We start from the raw sequence: 22995 nt of genomic DNA on the forward strand, positions 1-22995 counted from the left end.
AAATTTATCAAAGAGAATTCCAGAGTATTGAAGCAGCTGAAAGATGATTTTAAAACAAAGGCCTGAAAACTATGCATGATAAATTATCATAGATGTGAGTACTTTTATAGGTATTCCATTTTTAAATTGCCCAAAAGAACAAACTTTTCAGCAACCTCTTTAGAATCCACTGGCAGCCCTAGATTCATTCCAGATGAACTCAGCCAGAAATTTCTACAGCAATGAGCATGTTCTATATCTGTGCTATCCAATATGGTACCCACTAGCCACAGGTGGCTATTGAGAACTTGACATTTAGCTAGTGCAACTGAGGAACTGAAGTTTAAATTTTATCTGAATAGCCACATGTGGCTACTGTAGTAGACAAGGCAGGACTACGCAGTAATTATAGCTTGCCTCTTAGTTGAAATAATGGTCTTATCCTTCACACCAGAGAAAACACTAGGTTGTTTTTGATTTTAGACTTTTGAGTAATTTCTGTTTTTTTCTTCAGCATAGAGTTCATGAGAAATTGATTATAATATGCCTCAAAGCTCTAATGACCACTTCTGTAGTAACTTCTAGTTTCCAAACTGACTCCTTCAGATTGAGCCTTTCATAGTTTGAGTGCCATTGTTTTGACAAATATCAGATATTTTAAGAATTGCATGTTACAAATCTGATCACAAAGAAAGTATTTTTCCTAGGTAACTGTCTAAAACTAGAGATGGTTGGTCTAGGAGCCAATAGTCCTTCGGATTTTTAAATCAGTGTTTACAAAGTGGGGCAAGAGTACTCATAAAATGAACCAAAAAAGTAACAATGAGAAGAGAAATACCATTAAAGCATGTTAAATTAAATAAGCAGGAGGCTATTGGCTCAAGGCTGTCTCTGTACTTTGATTTTCTACACAATGAATTGCAATTTAACTTAGTACATAAATACACTGAAAGCTTAACCTAAGGAAGAGTATAATAAACAGCCAAGTCTCAGCCAAACACAAGCAGACAAGCTTCAGCCAATCACAAGCTGCCAACTTCTCAGATCATATCCAAATGATCTGATCATTGATTGCAACCAATCAGCCTATTTCTGTATTTTACTTCCATTCTCTGTCTATAAATACTCACGGCCCACAAAGCTCTCTGAACCTATTCTGATTCTGAGTGCTGTCCGATTCATGAATCATTCTTTGCTCACATAAACTCTGCCAAATTTAAATTACGTCAATTTTTTTTTATTTTAACAGGCAAAAGTAAAGATTATCAAGCATTCTTTTCCAACCAAACTTTAGTCAGTCTCCTGACTAGGCCTATCTGTGCACTTCCTTGTAAAATCCAGTTTTAGCAAAAAGCCTTGATAAATCAGTTTAGCCAAAAGCAACCACCCTCAATATCTGATCACCCTTAATATCTGATTTGGTTCCTCATCCTCCACCAACCTCCAGGTGACATCTGATCACCCTGGCCCGTCTTCAGCAAGAATCTTGTCAGGTTGGTTTAGACAGAATCCCCCTTACCCCTGATGTTTCCTCTTAATAATTTTCCATCCACTGACCCCCCTACCTTGCTCCTTGGCTATAAATTCTCACTTTTCCATGCTACAATTGAAGTTGAGCCCAATCTCTCTTCCCCACTGCAAGACCCTGTTGCAGTGGTACCTATGTCTATCTCAATGGTCCTGAATAAAGTCTTCCTTACCATGCTTTAACAAGTGACAAGTGTCATTAAATAATTTTTTTTTTTTGAGACCAAGTCTTGCTCTGTCGCTAGGCTGGAGTGCAATGGCTCGATCTCAGCTCACTGCAACCTCCGCCTCCCGGGTTCAAGCGATTCTCCTGCCTCAGCCTCCCAAGTAGCTGGGATTACAAGCACGTGCCACCACGCCTGGCTAATTTTTTGTATTTTTAGTAGAGACGGGGTTTCACCGTGTTAGCCAGGATGGTCTCGATCTCCTGACCTCATGATCCGCCTGCCTCGACCTCCCAAAGTGCTGGGATTACAGGCATGAGCCACCACGCCCAGCCAAATAATTTTTTCTTTAAAAAGGTATTATATAATCCTTAAACATTTTAGCCCTATAATAGACAGCAAGAAAAAAGTAACCCCTGACAGCTCTGAGCTGCCCCGGCAGTCACAGCTGGGCCTTGGTGCTGCGTGGAACATAAATACTTCACAGAACACCATCAGACGTGGCCACTCTTTGACCAGATGGATCAAGACAAAAACAAGACTCCTTCGTAATCACGTGGGAATGCTGAAAAAACGTAAACATTGTCCAAACCACAAAAATGACCAAACATCCCCTATCCCAGTTAATGAGTCACTGGTCTTGTCTCCCCTCCTTTTAGGTAAGATTTATTATGATACTTAATCATACAATCGCCCTCCTTCCTGCCAGCACCCAGTCCAGAGTATTGGATTGGATACTCTGTTTCCCTGAACCTTTCCCCAAATTACCTTGGGGTAAGGCATCAGCAAAGGAGGCTGTCACATTCGTTCAACCATCACTGTGCTTTTACTGGCCCTTTGCAGGCAAAGAATGAGAATATGCACAGATGAGAAGTCCAGGATGCACAAGACCACTCAATTAACATTTACTACTTTCATATCAACTGATGCATGCTAGGATGCTAAAAACACTTTTTGAATTAATTACTGCGTTAAATAGATTCACATTTATGTCTACAGTTATGTGAACATCTAGCTGAGCACTGTCTTGACTGTCCTGAGTAGAAGCAGAAAAGATAAGTTGTAAAGTACATCAACAAACTTTGCTGCTAAAAAACGAAAGTGCAGTTTCTTTCTCTCGGGCCCGGGGCGGGGCCATGGCTCCTCCTCTAGGAAGCCGCGCGAGCGCAGTCCCACGGCAGCCATTTCCCTAGCGCGCATGCACTGGGTCCCAGGACCACGTGCGCCGGCCTGTGGGCTTGGATTGGCTGAGCCTTGACGTTGTCCCAGTCCCGGTGATCGGAAGTTCTCCGTGGGCACTGGGCGGCTGAAGGCTCCGGAACTGCGCCTGCGCTTTTCGGTGAGTCATGCTTCAGGTTTGCCAGGGCCTGTGTCCCGCAAAAAGGCGAGCCCTTATTCCCAGCGGAAGCCCACCCCGGCTCGCGGCAGCTTTCCGGTGCGCCCTGGGCGGCGTAGATCCGAAGGTGCTCGCACCCCCGCCCCTTCCTCTCCGACTGTCGAGGTCGCCAGAGTGGGCTGAACCCTCGGGACTGTCGCTGTTTGTGTGCTGGGTGCCGGGCCGTCATCCCAAGATGATTAGCGGCAGGCTTTGCATGTTGCTCGACCCCACCCACCGGAACTCGAACCCGGGCTAGACCGGGCAGTTGGGCTGGTCCCTTCCTCTCGCTGCACCTTTACTAGGGGTCACCATTAAGGGAAATGGTCCTAGTGCAGTGCTGAGTGGCTGTTCAGTAACCGCTACACCGCTGCCAACATTTGGCATCGTTTCTCTCCATAGAGGGCGGGGCTCCCTGTGAAGCTGGGGAGCTGTTAAGTGGGTTAGGGCTAGAAAGTTACAGTTTCTCTTTAGGCTTTAAAGAGATCTAAAGATCTGAACAGATCTAGGTTATTTTTGACTTGTTACAAACTTCTGGAAACATTGTTTCCAGACCTTTCCTCTCGTTCTTCTCAGGGTTTAGGCCATTTTTGTGCAGATGTGTGCACCTTGCTTACTATAATATTAGCTAATCTTTATAAGTTTTTATATGGATCCAATACCATATTTCGTGCCTACTTTTCCTGGCACTGTATACACTTTTTGGTATAGGTATGCACCTAAGCAAGCATTATCCATATTAGCATCAGTTCTAGAACCGTGGCGTCCCAATAATGATAGCCATTAGTTACATAAGGCTTGATCACTTGAAATGTGGCTAGTCCGAATTGAGATGTGCTGTAAGTGTAAGACACAGTGAATTTTCGAGAATTAGCATGAAAAAGAATGTAAAATATCTCAATTTGTTTATATTAATCACATGTTGAAATGACTATTCTGGATACACTGGGTTAAATAAAATGTATAATTAATTTCACCAATTTTTATTTTTTAACATGACTACTGGAAAATTTTAAATCATATTTGTGGTTTACATGTTATATATATGTTGCACAGCCCTGCTCTAGAAAAGGGTCAACAAACTATGGCCTGCAGCCAAATCCAGCCTGCCTGTTTTTGTAAACAAGTGTTACCAGAGCAAGATCATGCCTATCCATTTATGTTATTTTCTGTATCTGCTGTTGCTGCTACAATAGCAGCAGAGTTGAGTAGTCCATAGAGATTGTATGGCCTACAAAGCCTAGAATATATACCTTCTGATCTTTAACAGAAAAAGTGTGCTGACCCCCTGCTGTAGAACAATGCCTGGTTTGGTAGATATTTTTAAGCCTTTTAATTGTAGATTCACATCCTATTATTCACACTTACTGTGTGACAGCCATAGTTCAAAGCACTTTATCAAGACTTTCATTTAATTCTCATTAATCCTAGGATGTTGGATTTCTCCCATTTTGTAGATGAGGAAATTGAGGCACAGAATGGTCAAGAAACTTATCCAACTTGCTCAGCACCCCTCACTTCTGGGAACTGGACCTGCTTGACCTTCCTTATGCAAATGTTTTGACCCCTCAAACCCACTTCATTAGCCCACAGTGGGCACCATGGTTTTTTTGTTTGTTTGTTTGTTTGTTTTGTTTTTTTTAACAAGATTTATTTGAACTAGAATTTTTGAATGATTTTTTTGAACTAGAATCGAGATGGGCTTGGTCTCCTACGAAAGAAGCCAAGGGGCACTGGGCTTAGGTGCAATGAGTACAAGCAAGCTGGTGTGTAGTGAAAAGAAATGAAGCTCCCAAGCAGAGAAGAGAGAGAGCATCCTGGATGCTCATTACTCATTTAACAACAACAAAAATGTGTTAAGTAATAGTAAGCACTGACTGGGTGTTTGCTAGGTGTGTATAGGTGAATAAAACATGTGGATCTTCTCTTATGGTCTTGTGGGGAAGGCAGTAAAAACGTTTTTTAAATGTGATTAACACCATGAAAAAAACTTGCAAATTATTTACTGTTTTTAGCAGGTTTCCTCACCTGTAAGATGAAAATAAGCCATTATCTGTATTGCAGGAGTATTGTGAGGATTGAGATGACTGGAGTGTGTGTGGCCTGGAGAGTTGCTCAATAAATATATGTTGCCTTCCACTGTGAAGAGGTAAGTGAGAGGGTGAATATCAGGAATTGTGTACATTATGACACTTAAAATATTACAGTTGTCATTTGTAATTTGTAGAGAAGGTTGTCAGCTGCATTGTACACAGTAGGTGTTTTAAATCTTTTCTGACTGAATGGGACTCATCTAGAAAAGCCAGTCATAGAGTTGTCTGCATTCGGTCCAGGAGCAGAACCAGAGCTGTCTTTGGGGCTGATGGCAGCCTAACTGGCAGGTCCTGCTGGGGTGTGGAAGAGGGTTGTATGCCTGTGTGTGGTTTAAATCAGAGTCACCCTGGAGAGCTGAGCCAATATGCAGGCCCTACCCTCAGAGATCCTAATTCATCCTATCTGGAGTGAGGCCCTGCCATTGTTTGTTTTTGTTTTTTGTTGTTTAATTTCCCCAGAGGATTCTAATGTGCAGCCAGGCTTGAGAACCACTAATGGTGAGAGATCAGCCAGGCTCGGGATGCTGCTTGAGCAAAGGCACAGAGCCGTGCCCATCAGTGGTTGCGAGTAGTCAAGAGGGAGGCCTGCTAGGGCTCTTTTTGCCACTGGCCAAGGAGCTTTGGCTCCATCATGAAAGCAAGGGGAAACCTCTCAAGGGCTTTCAGCAGGAAAATGAGGGAGTATCTTTCTGAGATCTGTACTAGAGGATGATCCCTCTAACAAAGTGCCAGACTCACAGTTGGGCCTTGTGAGTGCCAGAAGTACAGTGAAGGCAGTAAAGAAGCAAATTGTAGCTGTCCAGATGATGGCGAGCCCAGATAGGGTTTGGTGCCATCCTGCGTGTGTTTCCCCTAGCAGCCAGTGTCTGTCCATGTTGAAATTCCACATGTGTTGTAACTGGCCAGTTTCTTGTCAGTATTACTCCCACTAGGCTATCAGCTCCTTCAAGGCAGAGACTGTCTCTTTAGGCTCAGCATCTAGCACATACTCAATCCCTAATATATATTTATTGAATGAACTATGTAGAACTAAGCTGGACATATGCCTTACCTTGTCTTTTTATGGCAATTGTCAGAATTTTGTATTTCAATGGCTTCCACATTATACCCTCCTAGGGCAATAAATCCTTTATATCCACATGATGGTCCCACAGAGGACTAGAAAGTTTGACTGGATTTAAATCCTGTTAAAAATGTGGAAGGGAATGGAAAACAATACAGTGGGTCCTCAAAAAATTAAAAATAGAATTACCATATGATCCAGCAATTCCATTTTTGAGTATATACTCTGAAGAATTGAAAGCAGGGTCTCAAAGAGAGATTGGTATACCAGTGCTCACAGCAGTGTTATTCACAATGGCCAAAAGCCAGAAGCAACTCAAGTATCCGTTGACATTTGAATGGATAAACAAAATGTGTTATGTATAGACAATGGAATATTATTCATTCTTAAAAAGGAAGAAAGTTCTGACACATGCTACAACATGGATGAACCTTGAGGACATTATGCTAAGTGAAATAAGCCAGTCACAAAAAGAGAAATACTGTATGATTCCACTCACATGAAGTACCTAGAGTAGTCTCATCCATAGAGACAGAAAGTCGAGTGGTGATTGCCAGGGGCTGGAGGGAGGGAAGAATGAGGAGTTGTTTAATGGGTGCAGAGTTTTCAGTTTGGGAGGATGAAAAGAGTGCTGGACATAAGCATCTTGATGGCAGGGACTGTGTCTTTTCAAAAATCCATGGGCTCTGTTTTATAGCACTTGATATTAAATAATCACCACCGAACATACACAGGCTAAGAACACTGAAGTGTTTAGAGAGAGAATTCACACAATCTTCCCAGACACCATATGACAAGTGACATAAAACATATTTACCTTTTAGTAATTCTACTTCTGTGAATTCACTTTAAGGAAACGAGAGATGTGGAGACCGCATATGTACGCATTTTCTTCAAACTTAGGAGAAACTGGAAGGCCCCAAATAGGAGAATGATTAAAAACTATCGCAAACTCCTAGGATGATCCAATAACATAACCATTTAAAAATCGTGTTTTTAGAGAATATTTAATGATGTGGAAAAATAGTCCTAAAGCTAAGTGAAAAAAAATCAAGATGCAAAACTATATGAAAGATTAAACAGTTATATAATCCAGCAGATTCAAGATAAATGAAAACATATGTCCATGCAAAAACTTGTACACAGGCCGGGTGTGGTGGCACATGCCTGTAATCCCAGCACTTTGGGAGGCCAAGGCAGGTGGATCACCTGAGGTCAGGAGTTCGAGACCAGGCTGGCCAACATGATGAAACCCTGTCTCTACTAAAAATACAAAAAGTAGCCGGGCGTGGTGGCACATGCCTGTAATCCTAGCTACTCAGGAGTCTGAGGCACGAGAATCACTTGAACCCAGGAGGTGTAGATTGCAGTGAGCCAAGATTGCACCACTGCACTCCAGCATGGGTGACAGAGCGAGACTCCATCTCAAAAAAAAAAAAAAAAAAAACACACACACACTTGTACACAAATGTTCATAGCAGTATTATTCATAATAGCCAAAAATGGGAAATAATCAAAATGTCCATCAACTGATGAATGGATAAATAAAATGTGGTTTATCCACACAACATAATATTATTCTGCCATGAAAAGGAATGAAGTACTGAAAATGCTACAACATGGATGAACCTTGAAAACGTTATGCTGAATAGAAGAAGCCAGATACAAAAGACCACATACTGTATGATTTTATTCACATGAAATGTCCAGACAGCAAATCTATACAGACAGAAAAAAGATTAGTTGTTGACTTGGTGGGGTGGGACAGAAGGGCAGTGGAGTGAAGAAAGAGGAGTGGCTGCTAAAGTGCAGGGATTTTCTTGGGGGGTGGTGGCACAGATAAATCTTCTAAAGTTGATTTATTTGTGGTGATGGGTTACACAACTGTGAATATACTAAAAGCCACTGAATTATACACTTTAGGGGAATTGTATGGTATGTGAATTACATCTGAATAAAGGTGTTATTTAAAAATAGAATCTGGTCCAAATTTTACTTAAGAATTACATATGGAAAGACTGAAGAGATACGCAAAATTTTAAAGAGGGGCATTTTCTGAATGGTGAGATTTTAGGTAATTTTCATTTGTTCTTTTACTCTTTTCTGTATTTTCTGTGATGAGCATGCATTGTTTTCATAATCAGAAAAGTTATTGGTCTAATATAATTTCATGATAAACTGTATACATTTAAGATACTGAAAAATGGTATGGTGAGAAATGAATCAATCACCTTCTACCCACCTTCCCTCTGAAATGTGAATATCGTCTCTTAAGAGTGGCTATATCACCTGTGGCTTTGCATTCAGATAAGTATTCATAATTGCCTCAGAAATCGATTACTGCATCTCAAACAGGTGCATCTCCCCTCAAACTTTATCCCCAAATATGAAGAGTTAAGTACCCTTACATAACCAAGAGTCTGAGTCCTACATTTTTAACCACCAGAGGGAGCTGGAATGTAGAAAACCTGGGGCAGTCAGTTTTGTTTTGTTTTAAAGTTAGTTTCACAAAGGGCCATCAATTCAGGATCTTATGTAATTTTCCTAATTATTGTGAACCAGCACTTAAAAGATAATTCTTTTTTGCCTTTTTAAAATTCCACTTTTAAAGACTGCATACAGTAAAAGAGGTCTTCCTAAGAATCAAACTCTTAATAAACAACAGGCAAGACAGCACAGAAAAATAAAAAATATTCACACCCTCTATTAGCGAACATTTCTCTCAGAATTGTCTGCTTCAGATCTTGAAGTCACGCAGTTGTGTCACAGTGATAAAGTTTCAAGTTATTCAATATACTTGAGCCCTCCCCGACTCGTTGAAAAGTTTCCTAACAAAGAAGAAACATTCAATGTGCCTGCATTCTATATGCATTACTATTGAAATCAGGATGGAGGTTTGCTAGGCATTGAGAAAGATGGTGAATAAGAGATGGGCCTACAGCGCCCAAAAGGAAGTTAAGCAATATTTGACTCAGGTCAGAATTTCTCAACTGAAGGTCTGAGTTTCAAGGTAATTCTTAAAGGGAATTGTAATTATAGCTTCGGGGTTTCAGTGGGGTGAAAGCAGCAATTTGTCTTACCAGCAAAATGAGTAAATCTATAGAAGTTAATGTATTTATGTATAAACAACCAAAAAGCACTTTGCTCTTCATTTTATATGTTCTTTTATTGACCTTTTCTTCATATTTCTTTAAAAAATTTTAATTGTGATAAAATATACAAAACATAAAATTTACTGTGTTAAGCCCTTTTTTTTTTTTTTTTTTGACAGAGTCTCGCTCTGTCGCCAGGTTGGAGTGCAGTGGCATGATCTCGGCTCACCGCAAACTCTGCCTCCCGGGTTCAAGCAATTCTCCTGCCTCGGCCTTCCGAGTAGCTGGGACTACAGGTATGCGCCACTACATCCAGCTAACTTTTTGTATTTTTGGTGGAGACAAGGTTTCACCATGTTGGCCAGGATAGACTCGATCTCTTGACCTCATGATCCACCCACCTTGGCCTCCCAAAGTGCTGGGATTGCAGGTGTGAGCCACCACGCCCAGCCTGTCTTAAGCCTTTTTAAGTATACAGTTCAGTAGTGTTATGTACATTCTCGTTCCAGAGGGGAGGTGGGTAGAAGGTGATTGATTCATTGCTCATACCATTTTTCAGTAGGTATATCTTAAGTGCATATAGTTTATCATGAAATTGCGTTAGACCAATAACTTTTCTGATTATGAAAGCAATACATGCTCATCACAGAAAATACAGAAGAGGAAAATAACAAATGAAAATTACCTAAAATCTTACCATTCAGAAAATGCCCCTCTTTAAAATTTTGTGTATCTCTTTTCAGTCTTTTCACATGTAATTCTTAAATAAAATTTGGATCAAATTCTATTTTTAAATAACACCTTTATTCAGATGTAATTCACGCACCATACAGTTCACCTAAAGTGTACAATTCAGTGTTTTTTAGTATACTCAGTTGTATAACCCATCACCACAAATAAATCTTGAGAAGATTTATGTGTGCCACCACCTCCCAAGAAAATCCCTGAACTTTATCAGCTGCTCCTCCTCCTTCACCCCACTGCCCTTCTGCCCTACCCTACCTAGTCAACAACTGATCTATTTTCTGTCTCTATAGATTTGCCTGTTTTGGACATTTCATGTAAATAAAATCATACAATATGTGGACTTTTCTGTCTGGCTGCTTCTGCTCAGCATAATGTTTTCAAGGTTCATCCATGTTGTAACTGTATCAATACTTCATTCCTTTTCATGGCAGAATAATATTCTGTTGTGTGGATAAATCACATTTTATTTATCCATTCATCAGTTGATGGACATTTCGATTATTTCCCATTTTTGGCTATTGTGAATAATACTGCTATGAACATTTGTATACAAGTTTTTGTGTGGACATATGTTTTCATTTCTCTTGGATCTGCTGGGTCATATGATAACTGGTTTATTCATTTATTTATTATTATTTTTTTTTAGACAGAGTCTTGCTGTGTTGCCCAGGCTGGAGTGCAGTGGCACGATCTTGGCTCACTGCAAACTCCGCCTTCCAGGTTCATGCCATTCTCCTGCTTCAGCCTCCCAAGTAGCTAGGACTACAGGTGCCCGCCACCACACCCGGCTAATTTTTTGTATTTTTAGTAGAGATGGGGTTTCACCATGTTAGCCAGGATGGTCTCGATCTCCTGACCTCGTGATCTGCCTGCCTCGGCCTCCCAAAGTGCTGGGATTACAGGGTGAGTCACCATGCCCGGCCCATATGTTAACTGTTTAGTCTTTTATATAGTTTTACATCTTGATTGTTTTTCACCTAACTTTATGACCATTTTTCCATGTCGTTAAATATTATCTAAATACATGATTTTTAAATGGTTATATTACTGTATCCTAGGAGTGTGCCATATTTTTAACCATTCTCCATTTAACCATTTGAGGGCCTTCTAATTTCTCCTTAGAAGAAAATTCTTACATATGCAGTCTCCACATCTCTCATTTCCTTAAAGTAAATTTATGGAAGTAGAATTACTAAAAGGTCATTATGTTTTATGTCACTTGTCATATGGTGTCTGGGAAGACTGCGTGAATTCTCTCTCTAAACACTTCAGTGTTCTTAGCCTGTGTATGTTCGGTGGTGATTATTTAATATCAAGTGCTATAAAACAGAGCCCATGGATTTTTGAAAAGACACAGTCCCTGCCATCAAGATGCTTATGTTCACATTTAGACCAGACAGATAAATATAGATCCAAGGGTATTATATAGACAAGATTATGTACATTATGTGGAGGGAAAAAATAGACTGCATAGATAAAAGTAAACATTTGCCTGCCTAGGATGAAATTCACACAGACATAATCATTGAGCAACTCTTTACACTTAAAAATTTTTTAAAAATTAACAAAACCAAAATGTAAGAACCAGTTAGTCTAAAGTCATAAATCATCTGGATCATTGAGTCTGAACCTTTCCCTTGTTCAGAAGACTCCTAAGGCAGCACAGTGTAGCCTGTTGGCTTTTGGGACCCGCAGACGTATCTCTAGCTGCTTTTCAACCTGTGCTGTCTCACATTTTCCTTAGATTGCTTGAGACATTAGCAAACCCTTTCTGTCTTGTTTCTCTTTTATTTTCAGAAGAGTACCACTTTAAAGATTATGAAATGAGCAAGTAGTTCAGTTATATAGCTGACTCTGGGGAAAAATTGTCTAGCACTGTTCAGCATTGCCATATTGATGCTGACACCGGCATGATTTCACCTCCAACATGACCACCGGATTCCGCCCAAATGGATTGACTAATCTAGAAAGATCATTGATTTGTAAAATTGGAGGTGGAAAAGCTATAGCAGATCCTCCGGCAAGCCTCTTAAGCAGATGTTATGTAGAGGCTCTGCAATGCTGTTTGTTTGTTTTTCACTCGTAGGAATTAAACTCTTGAGAGTAAACCATACCGTCACCTTAAAGATTCCATTTTCTAGCGTGTCGCATACATTTGTATTACATGACTCTTTCGGAAAACATTGCCTAGGTAACTGACAGAAAGTGCTATTTTAGTATCCAGAAGCTGCGACTAGCAACGGCAAACTTAAGAAAACTGAAACCTCTTTTTTCTTTGCAGCTGTAAAGATGTCTGACAAGAACCAGATAGCTGCCAGAGCTTCTCTTATTGAGCAACTGATGTCCAAAAGGAATTTTGAGGATCTTGGCAACCACCTTACTGAGCTAGAAACAATTTATGTGACTAAGGAGCATCTCCAGGAGACAGATGTGGTCAGAGCTGTGTACAGAGTCCTCAAAAACTGCCCCTCTGTGGCTTTGAAAAAGAAAGCCAAGTGTTTGCTATCAAAGTGGAAAGCTGTTTATAAGCAGACTCACTCCAAAGCGAGGAACAGCCCTAAATTATTTCCTGTGAGGGGTAATAAAGAAGAAAATTCAGGACCTTCTCATGACCCAAGTCAGAATGAGACACTGGGCATCTGCAGCTCGAATTCTCTGTCTTCCCAAGACGTTGCAAAACTCAGTGAAATGATTGTGCCTGAAAATAGAGCCATTCAATTGAAACCTAAGGAAGAGCATTTTGGGGATGGTGACCCTGAATCCACTGGCAAGAGATCGAGTGAGTTGCTGGATCCCACAACACCCATGAGAACTAAATGCATAGAGCTTCTTTACGCAGCTTTAACTAGTTCTTCCACAGATCAACCCAAAGCTGATTTGTGGCAAAACTTTGCAAGAGAAATTGAAGAGCATGTTTTTACCCTTTATTCAAAGAACATCAAAAAATATAAAACTTGCATCAGAAGCAAAGTTGCCAATTTGAAGAACCCCAGAAATTCTCATTTACAACAAAACTTGCTCTCTGGGACCACGTCTCCACGAGAATTTGCTGAAATGACTGTCATGGAGATGGCAAATAAGGAACTGAAGCAGTTGAGAGCCTCCTACACGGAATCTTGTATCCAGGAACATTACCTTCCCCAAGTAATTGATGGCACACAGACAAATAAAATAAAATGCAGACGCTGTGAGAAATACAATTGCAAAGTCACTGTAATTGACAGAGGAACACTTTTCCTTCCCAGCTGGGTGCGGAATTCAAACCCAGATGAACAAATGATGACTTACGTAATTTGTAACGAATGTGGGGAGCAGTGGTACCATAGCAAGTGGGTGTGCTGGTAACTGTAAATCAGTGTTCTCTTAACAGATAACCGGAGTGATACCTTTTATTTGTACAACCCTTTTGTGCTTTTAAAAATCTTATACACACTACTCTCTAAAACAGAAAAAGGAGGAAAGAAAGTCGTTAGCTGAAGCTGCCACCACCATCCCTAAAAGTTACAGTTTGGGGAGAGGGAGTGGATGACTATTTATATTGTGCCTTGTGGCCATTTAGTACCTTACTGTAGACAGAGTGTGGGTGAGAACAGCCCAGCATAAACTGGGAGACTGTGGGAAATGCATTCCCAGGCCTCACACCATTGAATCCGAATCTGCATTTTGACAGGATCCCCAGGTAATCTTCCAGGATAGGATAGTTTGAGAAGTGCTACTTTAGCAATAGGCCTGTGGCTCTCAGCAGTGGCTGCATATTAAAATCATCTGGGAAGCTTTGAAAACCCACTGGTGCTGAGACCCCACCCTAGAACAATTCAGTTGGAACCTATGAGATGGGACCCAGGCATCAACATTTCTTTTTTCATTCCTCAAGTTATTTTAAGATGCAGTCAGAGTTGAGAACTACTCAGAAATAGGCTCTCATTTGATCCTTTTTACAGCTCTAAGACAAGAATGTTATTCCAGGCACTTCACGAATGAGGAAACAGGTCCACAGAGGTGTGGTGACATGTCCAAGTGACACAACCATAAATAGTACCAATTCTGACAGATCCCAGATTTTCTCCCTCCTGACTCACTGAGACTGGCTCAATATCGACTTCTGAGAAATGTATTCCTGGAGGTCGGGGACAAAATGAAGAATGTGTTTAAACTCCAACATTGGGTGACTAGATCTTCATTCTTTTCCCCTCTCTTTTCTCATTTATAGGTCTCCCTTCAACCACAAAAGTCACCCTGGAACTCATCCCGCAGTTAGAATTTTGTTTGGAGCCCTCTTGCTTAGTTGAAGGAGTTTCGTAGTTGTTTTTTGTTTTTGTTTTTGTTTTTGTTTTTTCCCCCTGTGAACAGGTTTTTCGGGGGTATGTAAACTCTAGGATGTTTAGTTTCTGATGTCAGGAGTCTTCATGTTCTCAAGGACAAGTGTCCTTGAGATGGACATTAATGGTCATTAGTCTGTCAGAGGAAGCCCATCACTTTAGCCTTTGAATGTAGTAACAGACGTTTATCTAATAAATGAATTGAAGATAAAATTACCTCTTTGAGGCCTTTGCAAACAGTGTTTAACCAGTTTATATAATTGTTTGACTACAACACGCCTTCTATGTGATTATGGCTGATTTTTTTTCCTTAAAAAACTCATGGAATGTTCACCGTTTTATAGTTTTAAAAAGTTTACTTTGGCGGTCTCTACAAACCTACCATTTCACTTTCTCACCAGTTCTTTTCTCCTAACTCTCTTCCTTTGTTGGAGCTCTGAAGGCCTAACTGTGTGTACACTTTACCTGCCTGACAGAATTCTCCAAAACATGCATAAAAGTAAAATATGTTCGTATTTTCAAATAATTTGGAAGAGTCGGCTCAATGCCATCAAGTGTAAAATCTATTTTGATATACTTGCTCTCCGTGTCTTCCCAGGGCTGCTTTTTGTGATGCAACATGTTTAGTCCTTAACTTGCAAGGTCATCTAAAACTTGAAGTTTCACAAAGTGTGGTTTCATATGACTTGGAATAATCTGAAAAACTATTCAGTGGTTACGAAAGAGCACAGCACATAAAAACCAAATTTGATTAGTTCAAGTCGGTGTTTATGTTTTGCTTTGGGGGTTTGTGTGTATGTGTGTAGTTTTTATTTATATTGGAATTTGGCAAACTAAATGTTCAGACAAATAAAAGTAATTAAAATGGAAATTTCCTTACTCTCCAAAATATAAAAACCTTCATGGTCTGGCCGGGTGCGGTGGCTCATGCTTGTAATCCCAGCATTTTGGGAGGCCGAGGCGGGCGGATTGCCTGAGGTCAGGAGTTCAAGACCAGCCTGGCCAATATGGTGAAACCCCGTCTCTACTAAAAATACAAAAATTAGCTGTGCATGATGGCGGGTGCCTGTAATCCCAGCTACTCGGGAGGCTGAGGCCGGAGAATCACTTGAACCCAGAAGGCAGAGGTTGCGGTGAGCCAAGATCACGCCATTGCATTCCAGCCTGGGCAACGAGAGAAACTCCACCTCAAGCAAACAAACAAAAAAACCAATCTGCGTGGTCTTCCTCATTTCATTTCATCTTTATTCGTGAGTTTTGCAACTTGAGATAGGAAAATAGTAATCTGTGTGTTTTTCTTTTGGTTAATGAGACAGCATTACATTTTCTGCCTATAGGTAATTCTTTCAGATCCTATGTCCTTTCCCCTAAAAGGAAAGGACTTTCTTTAAAATTGACTGCAGGGTAAAGATTTTTTTTTTTTTTTTTTTTTTTTTTTTTTTTTTTTTTTTTTTAGACAGGTTCTCACTCTGTCATCAAGGCTGGAGTGCAGTGGCGCCATCTCAGCTCACTGCAGCCTCAACCTCCCGGGCTCAAGCAATCCTCCAACCTCAGCATCCCCACTCCCTTGAGTAGCTGGGACTGCAGGCACGTGCCACCATGCCCAGCTAATTTTTGTATTTTTTGTAGAGACAGGGTTTCTTCATGTTGCCAGGCTGGTTTCAAACTCCTGGGCTCAAGCGATCCTCCCAAAGTGTTCGGCCTCCCAAAGTGCTGGTATTATAGGCATGAGTTACCGTGCCTGGCCAAGACTCTTTAATTTAAAATCGCTTTTTCAGAAACAGCAAATGGAAGACCCTGAGACAGGAGACTGCCTGATACACGCAAGTTCCAGCAAGAGTCCACGGCAGCTAAGTCACAGTGAGCAAGGGGAACAAGGATGAGAGATGCAGTCAAAGAGGCCATCGTGAGGGCTCTTGTCGGTCGGCCATGGTAAGGATTTGGGGGCGTTTCTTAAAACATGATGGGAAGCCACTGAAGCTGGGGAGTTTGTGGTGATGAGATTTAACACCCTTTAGGAAGGATCACTCTGGCTGTTATATTGAATTAGAAGGGAAGGAAGCAAGGATGCATGCAGGGACAACAGGTGACCCTTGGCAGTGATCCAAATGTCAAATAACTGGCTTCAAGCAAGAGTACACAGAGTCTGGGCTCCCCGAATCCTTATAGTCAGCAAAGTCCTTGACAACTTTGCAAATGGATATTTCATAAAATACACTAAATCCCAAGTTCCCTACCCATGGCCCATAATAAACAATAATAGACAATGCAGAAATTCAGCATTGGACAAGTATATCCTATACTCGGGTTGCCATGATTACTGGGAGTCCCTGCATAGGGCATAAACACCAGTTGTTATACCTGAATGTAGGAGCGCTCTCTTGACTCTTGATGGATTTTCCCACATCACTCTCCTTTTGTCTGTGTTACTTTTCTGAGATAAAAAGTTGGATACAATTGGAGCTCTGTCTCTTCCCTGAGCACTTCCTGTGATGAGAGGCTCCTTTCATTCGCCACTACCATTCTAAATACCAGTCAGGAAGCCTGCAGCTGGCAGTGCTCCACTGCTTTGGCAAGGGCTGGGCCTTCATCTTCTGGGTCAGATTGCTTTGTTATTTATAACTTCCCAGTAAATGCAAAATATTTTACTAAAGTAGTTATTTTTGTATCTCTCAGATACTGTAAGTACCTAGGCTTTCAGAAGAGCCCCACAATCAGAAGGGAGACCAGATGACAACCTCATATAGTCCCATTTGCATTATTATTTAAAACTGGGATTCCTGGCCAGACGTGGTAGCTCACATCTGTAATCCCAACACTTTGAGAGGCCAAGGTGGGAGGACCACTTGAGCCCAGGAGTTGGAGATCAGTCTGAACCCCGTCTCTACAAAAAATATAGAAATTAGCCAGGCGTGGTGGTGTGTGCCTGTAGTGTCAGCTACCCAGGAGACTGAGGTGGAAGGATCACCTGAGCCCAGGAGATTGAGGCTGCAGTGAGCCATGATTGCACCACTGCACTCCAGCCTGGGTGACAGAGACAGACCCCATCTAAAAAATAATAATAATAATAGATTTCCACAAATGTTAGCATGCATCATCAGAAATGCTCTGTGTTCATGATTGCACATTGCTTTCACTTTTCCAGGTGCCGGGAGCAAAGAGATGATTAAGACACCATCCCAGGCCTCAAGCCCCACGAAACGCAGGGGAAGCGCCATGCTATGCAGCCAGCAATCGTTTTACCTTTTAAGAGCTCTGAGAGAGACACCCACTGGAAAGGGGTGCAGAGGACCCCAGAGGATCAACTAACCCAGTGTGGGAGGGTCAGGGAAAGCTTCATAGAGGCCGTGACCCTTAGGGCAAATCTTGAGAGGAAGATGGCCAGGCAGAGGAAATGGGAAAGTCTGTTCCAGCACCATATTTGCTAGATTCTTGGCACTTTATGTATAGCATCTCCTTTAATCTTCACAACTACCCTGCTGCACAGCATTTTAGAGGTGAGGAAACTAAGGCTGAGAGAGATTAAGTTACTTGCCCAAGGGTACACAGAGACAAAGCCAGGACTAACTCATAACAAAGTGGGTAGGTTTTGTTTATTTTGCATGTCAGATTGCTTCTAGAAATAACAGCAGGCTTCCTATTAATTCCAGGTGAGGTCCTGCTATTTTATAATTGTGGTTTGTTCTTTCAATGCCAGGAGCATGTGGTGTATGGATCCCCCCTTACACCAGTACTGTGCACTCCTCCTGATGATGGAGAGATTGGGAGGGACCACCTGGCTAGGATTGCTGGCTCTCCTGACACCTTCTCGTGGCATCCATGTGGTTTATCCAGTTTTCTGAAAAGTAAGTAATTTTTAAAATACTGAAATTTGACAGTATAAGAACATGTTGCTTTTTAAGGGATATTTACATGTTTATATATTTTTATGAATTTGAAGACTATAAATATATAAATGCAGTTTCAGGTATCATTTCCTATAAAATATAGGGCCTTTCTTTTCTTTTCTTTTCTTTTTTTGAGACAGAGTCTCACTCTGTCACCCAGGCTGGAGTTCAGTGGCGCGATCTTGGCTCACTGCAACCTCTGCCTTCCAGGTTCAAGTGATTCTCGTGCTTCAGCCTTCCAAGTAGCTGGGATTACAGGCATGCACCACCATGCCTGGCTAATTTTTTGTATTGTTTTTAGTAGAGACGGGGGTTTCACCATGTTGCCCAGGCTGGTCTTGAACTCCTGGCCTCATGTGATCCACCTGCTTCAGCCTCCCAAAGTGCTGGCATTACAGATGTGAGCCACCATACCCCGCCAAATATAGGGCCTTTCTATCTTCATGTTCTGCCTGTATGATCTAGGAAAATAACAATCAATTATGAAAAAATAGTTATTTAGAATCCTTTGTTAAATTATTGTAAGTACCCTCCTGGACAGAGAGTCAAAAATAGAATTAAAATTAATTTGTTGGACATACTCTTGCTTTCTTTTAAAATGTAAATGAGATACAAATAGGGGTAGGTTCCAAGTAGTCATTAATCTTTTTCAAATGGTGGCAAATTTTTTTAAAAAATCTAAAACAACCATGGTAAAGTTACATATCCAATTAATAAGCAAGTTAAAACTTCACCCATTCAAAAACTTCTTTACTTTTTATTTTTGGAATATACCATATTCACTTTTGAAATGCAGGTAAACAGATACAGGTAGCTCCCCGGCAGCTACTTTTACAACTTCAGAGTGATGTCATAACTCACGAAATTCCCCTTTGTAGACTGAAACAAAAAATTCAGAAATTTCCAAGGTGCCGGTGAGGCCCTGAGTCATCTGGCTGGATTCCACCTAACGCGCCTATCTGTGAATGATTGAAGACAGAGCTGCAAAACCAGTTTCAGTTTGTTTTTTTTTCTCTAACCACAGCACACCCAGGCACTTGTCCAACAGTTTCCCACGTAGCTCTTCCCCATGGCGTGTGACTTCATGTGCGTGTCAGTTGGGAAGAGCTAAAAGTCAAAGTTCACCCATGTCTAGCAGAAAAGGACTTGAAGATTTTACATGGACTGTGTGTTGGTGTTTATGAGTCCACCAGGCCATCTTGTTTTGTCTTATCTTTTCAGACCGAGGATTTCTATTCCTTCAGTTTTGTTTTCTTTCAGCAGATGGGCTTTTGTCCCCCAGCTTTGTGAAATCTCACGAATTGCTCAGCAGAAAGTTTCCAAATGACTTAGTGGATTTTTATGAACATTTAAAAATGAGGCTGAATGCGGCGGCTCAGGTCTGTAATCCCAGCACTTTGGGAGGCTGAGGCGGGTGGATCATCTGAGGTCAGGAGTTTGAGACCAGCCTGATCAACATGGTGAAACCCTGTCTCTATTAAAAATACAAAAATTAGCTGGGCGTGGTGGTGCGCACCTGTAGTCCCAGCTACCTGGGAGGCTGAGGCACAAGAATTGCTTGAATCCGGGAGGCGGATGTTGCAGTGAGCTGAGATCGTGCCACTGCACTCCAGCCTGGGTGACAGAGGGAGACTCTGTCTCAAAACAAAAAGGACATGGGGGGTTCTTTTTGGGGGTGCTAAAAATGTTCTAAAATTGGTGGTGGTGATGGATGCACATGCTAAACATCACTGAATTGTACACTTTAAATGAGTGAATTGTATAGTATAAATAATATCAATAAAGCTGTTACCCAAAAAAATCAGATGAATGGAAGGAAGAAATTGGAGAGAGGGTCTCTATTGGATATTTATCTCAGTGAGTCATTCTGAACCTTAGTCCCAATTTATACATGCTCGTAATGACAGTCTTTCTCAAAGGGGGCTTTCTGGAGGCCCCAGCCACATCACTGACAGATAAAGAGTGAGTCTCCCAATGCCTTCAAAGTTGTCAGGGCGGTTTCCTGGGCTCTAGCATTTGCGGTTCTGCATAAAACCTGCTTTCACACAGCTCACAGGGCTCAACGGGGATCCCAAATCATCGGTCCTTGTGTTTCTTCCCCATTTCTCAAGCTACAGATCTGAGCTGAACTATCAATGATATTAAACCCCTGGAAAATAAAAAATCCTCTAGAATCAACCCCAAACAGTTGACATTTTCGTTCCCAGTAAGAGTTATACTCAGAAAAGAATTGTAATAACCACAAATGAAATCAGCCCTGCACTCTCGCCCTTCATATTGAGGCCCTGGGATCAATGGCATCAGCATCACCTGGGAGCAAATACCAAAACAAGGGCCGCATCCCAGACCTACTGAATCCCAATCTACATTTTTCACCAAGTCCTCAGCCATCAACTGCATATTAACTGTCCACAGCAGCTGGCCCTACGAAGTCTGCCTTCCTGCTTATACCTTTGGATGAAATGCCTGAGTTCCTAGCATGGAAACTAACATGGATCTCTCTGATTGCCTCGGTCACCAATGACCTCCACCCTCTACGTCACTAAATTCAGGGGACAGTTCTCAGCCTTGAATCCTATCTACAGCATTTGACATGCTTGCTTCCTTCTTGAGAACATTTTCATGTGGCTTGCAGTAGGTTACACTCTCATTGGTTTTCCCTGTCACTGGTCACTCTGTTTCAGTATCATTTGCTGGTTCATCTTTCCTGACTTTTTAACTGGAATGTCCTGGAATGTAATCCTTGGACCCCTTCTATCTACATTCACTCCTTTGGTGATCTTCTCTAGTTCCATGGCTTCCTGCATCATCTCCATGCTAAGGACCTCCCCGCTGTCTATCTTCAGGCTTGCATCTCCCCCTCAGAATTCCAGATCCAGAAACCTAACAGTCAACTTGACAACTCTACTTGCATGTCCAGTGAGCATCTCAAACTTAACATGTTTAAAATCAAGCTTCCAATCTTCTCTCCAGCGCCTCCTTCTCCACTGAATGGCAACTCCATCCTTGTGTACCTTGAGCTAAAGAAACATGGAGTCATCATTAACTCCTCTCTTTCTTTCATATCATACTTCCAATCAGTTGGCAAATCATATTGGCTCTATTTCAGATATATATCCAGAAGCCCAACTTAAAAATGGGCAGGAGATTTGAATAGACGCTTCACCAAAGAAGAGCAAAGAAGATACAGGAGTGGCCAACGTGCACATGAAAAGATGCTCAACATGGTTAGTCCTTAGGGAAATGCAAATTAAACCCACCACGAGAAACCATTTCACACCCACTTGGATGGCCATAATTAGAAAAAAACAAAACAAAACACACACACACACACACACACAGAAAATAACAAGTGTTGGTGAGGATGTGGAGAAATTAGAATTTTTGTACATTACTGGCAGGAATATAAAATGGTGCAGCCACTTTGGGAAACAGTTTGGCAGTTCCTTTTTTTTGAGACGGAGTCTCGCTCTGTCGCCCAGGCTGGAGTGCAGTGGCGCGATCTCGGCTCACTGCAAGCTCTACCTCCCGGGTTCACGCCATTCTCCTGCCCCAGCCTCTCGAGTAGCTGGGACTACAGGCGCCCACGCCACGCCCGGCTAATTTTTTTTGTATTTTTAGTAGAGACGGGGTTTCACCACGTTAGCCAGGATGGTCTCGATCTCCTGACCTCGTGATCCGCCTGCCTCAGCCTCCCAAACTGCTGGGATTACAGGCGTGAGCCACCGCGCCCAGCCTGGCAGTTTCTTAAGAAGTTAAGCATCATAGTAAACATAGGACTCAGTTAAAAATAAAAATAAAAGAAATTACGCATAAATTTACCATACATCCCAGCAATTATACACCTTGGCGTGTACACAAGAGAAATGAACGCATACATTTACACGAAGACTCATCTGTGAGCATCCATAGCAGCACTATTCATAGTAGCCAAAAAGTGGAAACAACCCAAATGTCCATTAACTGGTGAATGGATCAAAAAGATATGGTATAGATATTCAAAGAAATACTATTCCATAATAAAAAGGAGTGAAGTAATGATACATGCTGTAGCACAGATGAACTTTGAAAGCATTTGCTAAATGTAAGAAGCCAATCACAAAAGACCACATATTGAATGACTCCACTTATGTGAAGTGTCTGGAATATACAAATCTACAGAGATGGAAAGTGGATTCACAGTTACCTGGGGCTGGTGGGAGAAAAGAGGAGTGACTACAGATGGGCACAAGGGACCTTATTGGAGTAATGGAAATGTTCTGAAATTGGATTGTGGTAATGGCTAAATAACTCTGTAAATCTGTTTAAAAATCATTGAATTGTGTACTTAAAACAAGTGAATTTTATCATATGTAAATTATACCTCAATAACACTGTTTACAAATATCCAGAATATGACCACATATTATGTTCTCTACCATTGTCTTGTTCTAAGCCAGCATCATCCTCACCTGGCTGACTGTCACCTGGATGACCAATTGTCATACAGATACCACCTGCTAAGTGGTTGCCTGACTTCCACTCTTGTCTCCCAAGTACGTCTCTAACACAACAGCCAGAGTGATCCTGGGGAATATGCAAATCAGATCAGGTTACCTCTCTGCTCAAAACTCTCTGTTGGCTCCTGTCTCCAAGAGAAAGACAAAGTTCTTATAGTGGTCTTTAAAGCTTCACTAATCTGGCCCCTCCTTGTTACCTTTCTGAGCTCCCTGCCTGCTATTAATACTTACCCCCTTGCTGGAGACTGCA

At 41.5% G+C, this 22995-nt stretch overlaps 1 protein-coding gene and 2 long non-coding RNA genes across 6 annotated transcripts, besides 6 other annotated features; 2 read left to right on the forward strand and 1 right to left on the reverse strand.

Moving 5' to 3' along the window:
- Positions 1–2317: 2317 nt before the first annotated feature.
- On the reverse strand, positions 2318–3260 carry LOC107985657 (uncharacterized). Its single transcript, NR_171573.1, has one exon. It is a non-coding gene; the product is annotated as an uncharacterized LOC107985657 (long non-coding RNA).
- Positions 2645–2834: an enhancer, noted in NCBI's record as "active region_29441". NCBI's record gives its function as "activates an Ori minimal core promoter by ATAC-STARR-seq in GM12878 lymphoblastoid cells {active_cell/tissue: GM12878}" and the evidence as "EXISTENCE:reporter gene assay evidence [ECO:0000049][PMID:35858748]".
- Positions 2645–3074: a biological region, named in NCBI's record as "ReSE screen-validated silencer GRCh37_chrX:13671061-13671372".
- Positions 2763–3074: a silencer, noted in NCBI's record as "fragment chrX:13671061-13671372 (GRCh37/hg19 assembly coordinates)". NCBI's record gives its function as "represses an EF-1alpha promoter that drives an FKBP-Casp9 reporter gene in an ReSE screen in HepG2 liver carcinoma cells {active_cell/tissue: HepG2}" and the evidence as "EXISTENCE:reporter gene assay evidence [ECO:0000049][PMID:32094911]".
- On the forward strand, positions 2962–15230 carry TCEANC (transcription elongation factor A N-terminal and central domain containing). Of its 4 annotated transcripts, NM_001297563.2 has the most exons (5): positions 2962–3009; positions 5110–5194; positions 9473–9589; positions 10852–10943; positions 12322–15230. In NM_001297563.2, the coding sequence occupies exon 5, from the start codon at positions 12330–12332 to the stop codon at positions 13383–13385; it is 1056 nt and encodes a 351-aa protein (NP_001284492.1). In that variant the 5' UTR covers positions 2962–3009; positions 5110–5194; positions 9473–9589; positions 10852–10943; positions 12322–12329; the 3' UTR covers positions 13386–15230. The 4 variants fall into 4 exon arrangements, with proteins under 4 accessions (NP_001284492.1, NP_689847.2, XP_016884805.1 ...); NM_152634.4 differs by lacking the exon at positions 10852–10943 and having other exon boundaries at positions 2962–3133; XM_017029316.2 differs by lacking the exon at positions 10852–10943.
- Positions 3095–3184: an enhancer, noted in NCBI's record as "active region_29442". NCBI's record gives its function as "activates an Ori minimal core promoter by ATAC-STARR-seq in GM12878 lymphoblastoid cells {active_cell/tissue: GM12878}" and the evidence as "EXISTENCE:reporter gene assay evidence [ECO:0000049][PMID:35858748]".
- A 665-nt stretch (positions 15231–15895) lies between the features above and the next one.
- LOC107985656 (uncharacterized) lies at positions 15896–20351 on the forward strand. The gene is made up of 3 exons (XR_002958816.2): positions 15896–16291; positions 17505–18546; positions 19651–20351. It is a non-coding gene; the product is annotated as an uncharacterized LOC107985656 (long non-coding RNA).
- Positions 18781–19980: an enhancer, noted in NCBI's record as "P300/CBP strongly-dependent group 1 enhancer chrX:13687079-13688278 (GRCh37/hg19 assembly coordinates)". NCBI's record gives its function as "activates an origin of replication core promoter dependent on BRD2, BRD4, P300/CBP, MED14 and CDK7 cofactors, with strong dependence on P300/CBP, by STARR-seq in HCT116 cells {active_cell/tissue: HCT116}" and the evidence as "EXISTENCE:reporter gene assay evidence [ECO:0000049][PMID:35650434]".
- Positions 19018–19157: an enhancer, noted in NCBI's record as "active region_29443". NCBI's record gives its function as "activates an Ori minimal core promoter by ATAC-STARR-seq in GM12878 lymphoblastoid cells {active_cell/tissue: GM12878}" and the evidence as "EXISTENCE:reporter gene assay evidence [ECO:0000049][PMID:35858748]".
- Positions 20352–22995: the final 2644 nt, after the last annotated feature.

This window comes from Homo sapiens, chromosome X, assembly GCF_000001405.40.
Source record: "Homo sapiens chromosome X, GRCh38.p14 Primary Assembly".
Lineage (NCBI taxonomy): Eukaryota > Metazoa > Chordata > Mammalia > Primates > Hominidae > Homo > Homo sapiens.